The sequence below is a fragment of the Homo sapiens genome, chromosome 9 (assembly GCF_000001405.40).
Source record: "Homo sapiens chromosome 9, GRCh38.p14 Primary Assembly".
NCBI classification, from domain to species: Eukaryota; Metazoa; Chordata; class Mammalia; order Primates; family Hominidae; genus Homo; species Homo sapiens.
Genome location: NC_000009.12, coordinates 72,420,058 through 72,424,903, shown reverse-complemented (window position 1 = coordinate 72,424,903; position 4,846 = coordinate 72,420,058).

Sequence of the window (4,846 nt, the reverse complement as noted above, 5' to 3'; positions counted from 1 at the left end):
CCGGGCGCTATGGCTCATGCCTATAATTCCAGAACTTTGGGAGGCCAAGGCAAGCAGATCACCTAAGGTCAGGAGTTTGAGACCAGCCTGACCAACATGGTGAAACTCCATCTCTACTAAAAATACAAAAATTAGCCAGGCATGGTGGCGGTTGCCTGTAATCCCAGTTACTCAGGAGGCTGAGGCAGGAGAATTTCTTGAACCTGGGAGGCGAAGGTTGAAGTGAGCCAAGATCGCACCATTGCACTCCAGCCTGGGCAACAGAGCAAAACTCTGTCTCAAAAAATAAAATAAAATAAAATAAAATAAACCCATGACAGGGATATAAATGTATAATATTACTATAACAGGGGAATGAAGAATTACAGCCAATAACTTAATCTGCAATACCATAGATGTTGCCAGGAGAATGTGTCATTGATGGCACATTATATATCACATTACTGGGCCTTTATATATCAGGAAAACATCACACCAAAATAAGAAGAGGGCTTATGATCCTCAGAGCTGGAAAGAACCTTAGTTGACAGATGAGGAAATTCAAGCTTCAAAAGAGGAAGGATCCTTCCCACAGTCATATGTCTGGGAGTGGCCTACCAAGTTTAGGCAAATTTACTTTTCAACACAAAATAGTGAAATCCACCAGAGGAAGGGGAGGCACCCTTTCCCCAAGAAAAAGAGAGTCAGTTCTGGTAACAAGATCCTAAAGATGAAATAGTCTTCATAAATTGCAAGGGTTTCACTGAAACACAGAACTCCCTGGGCCTCCTGGAAATTTTTATCAAGAATGCAAATAAGACATAAACAACTCACAGCTTCCATAACTATTATGCCTAATTTAACAGAAATAATTTCATCTGTATGTACTCTGTAATCTTCACCCCTCTTCAAATTGAACCAGAAGTACCACAAATCATTGCCAAATTGATCCCATTTTGTTATTTCCCTTGATGGTACCAGCCTACTGGTCCTTGAAAGTATCCAGTGCTTCACCCTCCACCCAGGGAGCCCATGCCGGGCACCTCCTTGCTCTTTCAAGGCCCTCCCTCATGTGACACCCAAAACTACTGCACTTTTTTTTCCCATTACATTTTAGCCCTGTTTTCACAAAAGACATAAATGACTTGTCTAACATTTTAACACCAGGGCCTAACAGGGCCATACTCAAAGCCAATGTCTTGAAAAAATTAAGTAAAATAATAAACTATGGGCTGGGCGCAGTAGCTTACTCCTGCAATCCCAGCACTTTGGGAGGCCAAGGCAGGTGGACCACCTGAGGTCAGGAGTTTGAGACTAGCCTGGCCAACATGGCGAACTCCGTCTCCACTAAAAATACAAAAATTAGCCTAGCATGGGGGTGGGCGCCTGTAATCCCAGCTACTCAGGAGGCTGAGGCAGGAGAATCGCTTGAACCTGGGAGGCAGAGGTTGCAGTGAGCTGAGATCGTGCCATTGTACTCCAGCCTGGGCTACAAGAGAGAAACCCCATCTCAAAATAATCATAACCATAATCATAATCATAATAAACTATGAAGACCACACAGAGGTGTACTTATTGTTCCAATCAATTGAACCGTAAAACAAAGCTACTTTCCTATGCACAATTGTGTCCTTCTGGGTTAATAGGCACACATAATAAGCTGCTCACAGAAATGAACGCAAAGCACTGGCCCAAGTGGAGAATGAACCCCTGCATTTCTTCTGCAAATAGGGAAAGGAGCTTGGGGTGTAGTAGGAAACTGTTCCAAATTCCCTGGCATCTACAAATACTTAAATTTATCCATCAGAAGAAAAATAGTTTTATTTGGTAGAGCTCCAGAAAACAGAACTAGGACAAGTAGGTGAAGTTAGGGAGATAAATTATTTCTGTTCAAAATATGGGAAAACTGGGTGACAATCACTGCTGTCTAAAAATGGACTAGGTTGCCTCATGTGGCACCACATTCTGGATCACCTGTAGTGTCTGAGGAGAAGCAAAGTGACAATTGTCAAAGATGACATCCAGGGGATGCTTTCTGGGAGTGGGCAATAAGAAGGGATGATGTTATGAGGTGCTTCTGAGTCTGCAATTCCATTTTTCCCAATCCCCACCTCTTTCCAGCTTCAATGAGGCCTCCTGGGAGCCAGTAGTAGTTAGGTGGTCAAAAAGAAGGACAGAGACAAGAAAAGTTGAGCTCAAATCCCACTCTACCACTTAATAGCTGAGTGACCATGAGCAAATCCCTTAATCTTTTTGAGCTTCCATTTCTTCACCTACAAAGTGGAGTTTTCTACTAATTCTTTTCATAAGGAATAAGAGAGGTATTATATGTAAAGTGCTTTGAACACTGCCTGGCAGAGACTAAGTGTGCAACAAATATTAGTTGTTATTATTACAACTCAAACTACGAGAAAATTAGAGGACTCAGAAGTGTATTGGAAAGGACGTCATGATGATTTAATACCAACTCTGGCTACAAGAGGGTAAACACACAGTGGTGGAGATAACGTTAGGCAAAGGGCAAAGGACTTACTCTGACAGCTCCATTAGCATGCAGGGCTGCATGATCAATGCCAAGCATAAAACATCATGGGGATTTAAGGCCGGACGCGGTGGCTCACGCCTATAATCCCAGCACTTTGGGAGGCTGAGGCGGGCGAATCACGAGGTCAGGAGATGGAGACCATCCTGGCTAACACAGTGAAACCCCGTCTCTACTAAAAATACAAAAAATTAGCCGGGCGTGGTGGCGGGCGTCTGTAGTCCCAGCTACTGGGGAGGCTGAGGCAGGAGAATGGCACGAACCTGGGAGGCGGAGCTTGCAGTGAGCCGAGATCGCGCCACTGCACTCCAGCCTGGGTGACAGAGCGAGACTCCATCTCAAAAAAAAAAAAAAAAAAAAAAAGAAACATCATGGAGATTCAGACAACTTTCCCTTTTTCACCGCACTTGTTGTCCTATTGCCAAAACCTATATAGACTGTGACTTTCCCCCTTACTGTGAACCCTGCTATCGAACATCCCTGGCAGCATATCCTGCTGCCCACTCTCATCCTTCATCTATAAACCAGACATGAAGAAAACTATGTTCATTGGTGCAGCTCAGGCAAAGAAGTTTCCAAGGGCTTTGCTATGTTTTAATGTATGTGTCCCTCCAAAATTCATTTTGGAACTTCAACCTCAGTGTGATAGTTTAGAAAGCTGGGGCTGGCTGGGCACGGTGGCTCACGCCTGTAATCCCAGCACTTTGGGAGGCCGAGGCAGGGGGATCACCTGAGGTCAGGAGTTCGAGACCAGCCTGGCAAACATGGTGAAACCCCGTCTCTACTAAAAACACAAAAATTAGCTAGGCATGGTGGCAGGCACCTGTAATCCCAGCTACTCCAGAGGCTGAGGCAAGAGAATCGCTTGAACCCGGGAGGTGGAGGCTGCAGTGAGCCAAGATCGTGCCATTGCACTCCAGCCTGGGCAACAGAGCAAGACTCTGTCTCAAAAAAAAAAAAAAAAAAAAAAAAGCTGGGGCCTTTAGGAAGCAATTCAGTCATGAGGGCAAAGCCCTCATACATAGGATTAGTGACCTTGTAAAAGAGCTGGAGGGAACCAGCTAGACCCTTTTTCCCCCTTCAGTCTCTTCTGCCATGTGAGGACATAGCATTCATCCCTCTTTTGCCCTTTTCCCCTTTGCACCATGTGAGGACGCAGCAAGAAGGTCCTCAGCCAGACATCAAATGTGTAAGCACCTTGATCTTGGACTTCCCAGCCTCCAAAATCATATGAAATAAATTTTTGTTTTTTATAAATTACCCAGTCTCAGACACTTTGTTATAGCAGCATAAAAAGACTAAGACAGGCTGCTGCTTAAAATGACAAGGGAGAAAAGAAATCAAGTCTAATGCACTCTTTTTGAGCAACTTCTCAAAAAGTGGGCACACTTGACTCACATTTCTATGTTCCTGTTTTGTCTACACTTTTTATTTGATACCATGGAGCAGTCTGAAGCACACCCTTCCTCCTGCCTTTCCAGCACCCAAACCCCTGGCTTCAAATGGCTCATTTTATACATCTTCAGCCCACAGCCCTAGTCTGACCTCTCCCACCATATCAGCTCAATTATGCACAATACTGCTGTGCTGTGTAGATTTGTTCAACAATGTTATGATCTGAGCTCCTTGGGGAAAGGATCTTGTCATTTCTACTTCTACTTTGCAAGGTACCATGTGTATTGCCAACACTTTATAAACAATAATAATGTGTTAAAGGTGGATTTTCTATGTGTTCAAGTTACTAAATGAAAAATGACACCTTCTATTTCTAATGTTAATGCCCTTATCTACTAACACTCATTTCATATTTGCTGGAGAAAGGAAACATCTCATTTTAATTCAAATCTATTCTGGCGATCTTTGGAAATGAGGGTCACCCTCAAGAGTTTAAACTTACATATCAGGTCATTGTGAAAAAATTTCAAAAACCTATATCTCCTTCCAGTAATTATTTTAACTATAAAGCTCTTTCTTACAAACAGGCAGCCCAAATTTGATAAATGCTTGTTGAGCAAATAAACAAATGAGACTAAAATGAACCTCATGACAAGACTAAGAGATAAGAAGAACTGGTGATTATTTTCCCATTTTACCACACCGAAAATTGGTCTTTTTATTTTATTTTAACATTGTGTATGTGATAGGGTCTTGCTCTGTCGCCCAGGCTGGAGTGCTGTGGTGCAATCACAGCTCACTACAGCTCCAACCTCCTGGGCTCAAGTGGGCCCCTGCTTGAGCCTCCTAAGTAGAGGAGACTATAGGGTGGGCCACCAGGCCTGGCTAATTTTTTTTTTTTTTTTTTTTTTTTTTTAGAGATAGGGTCTC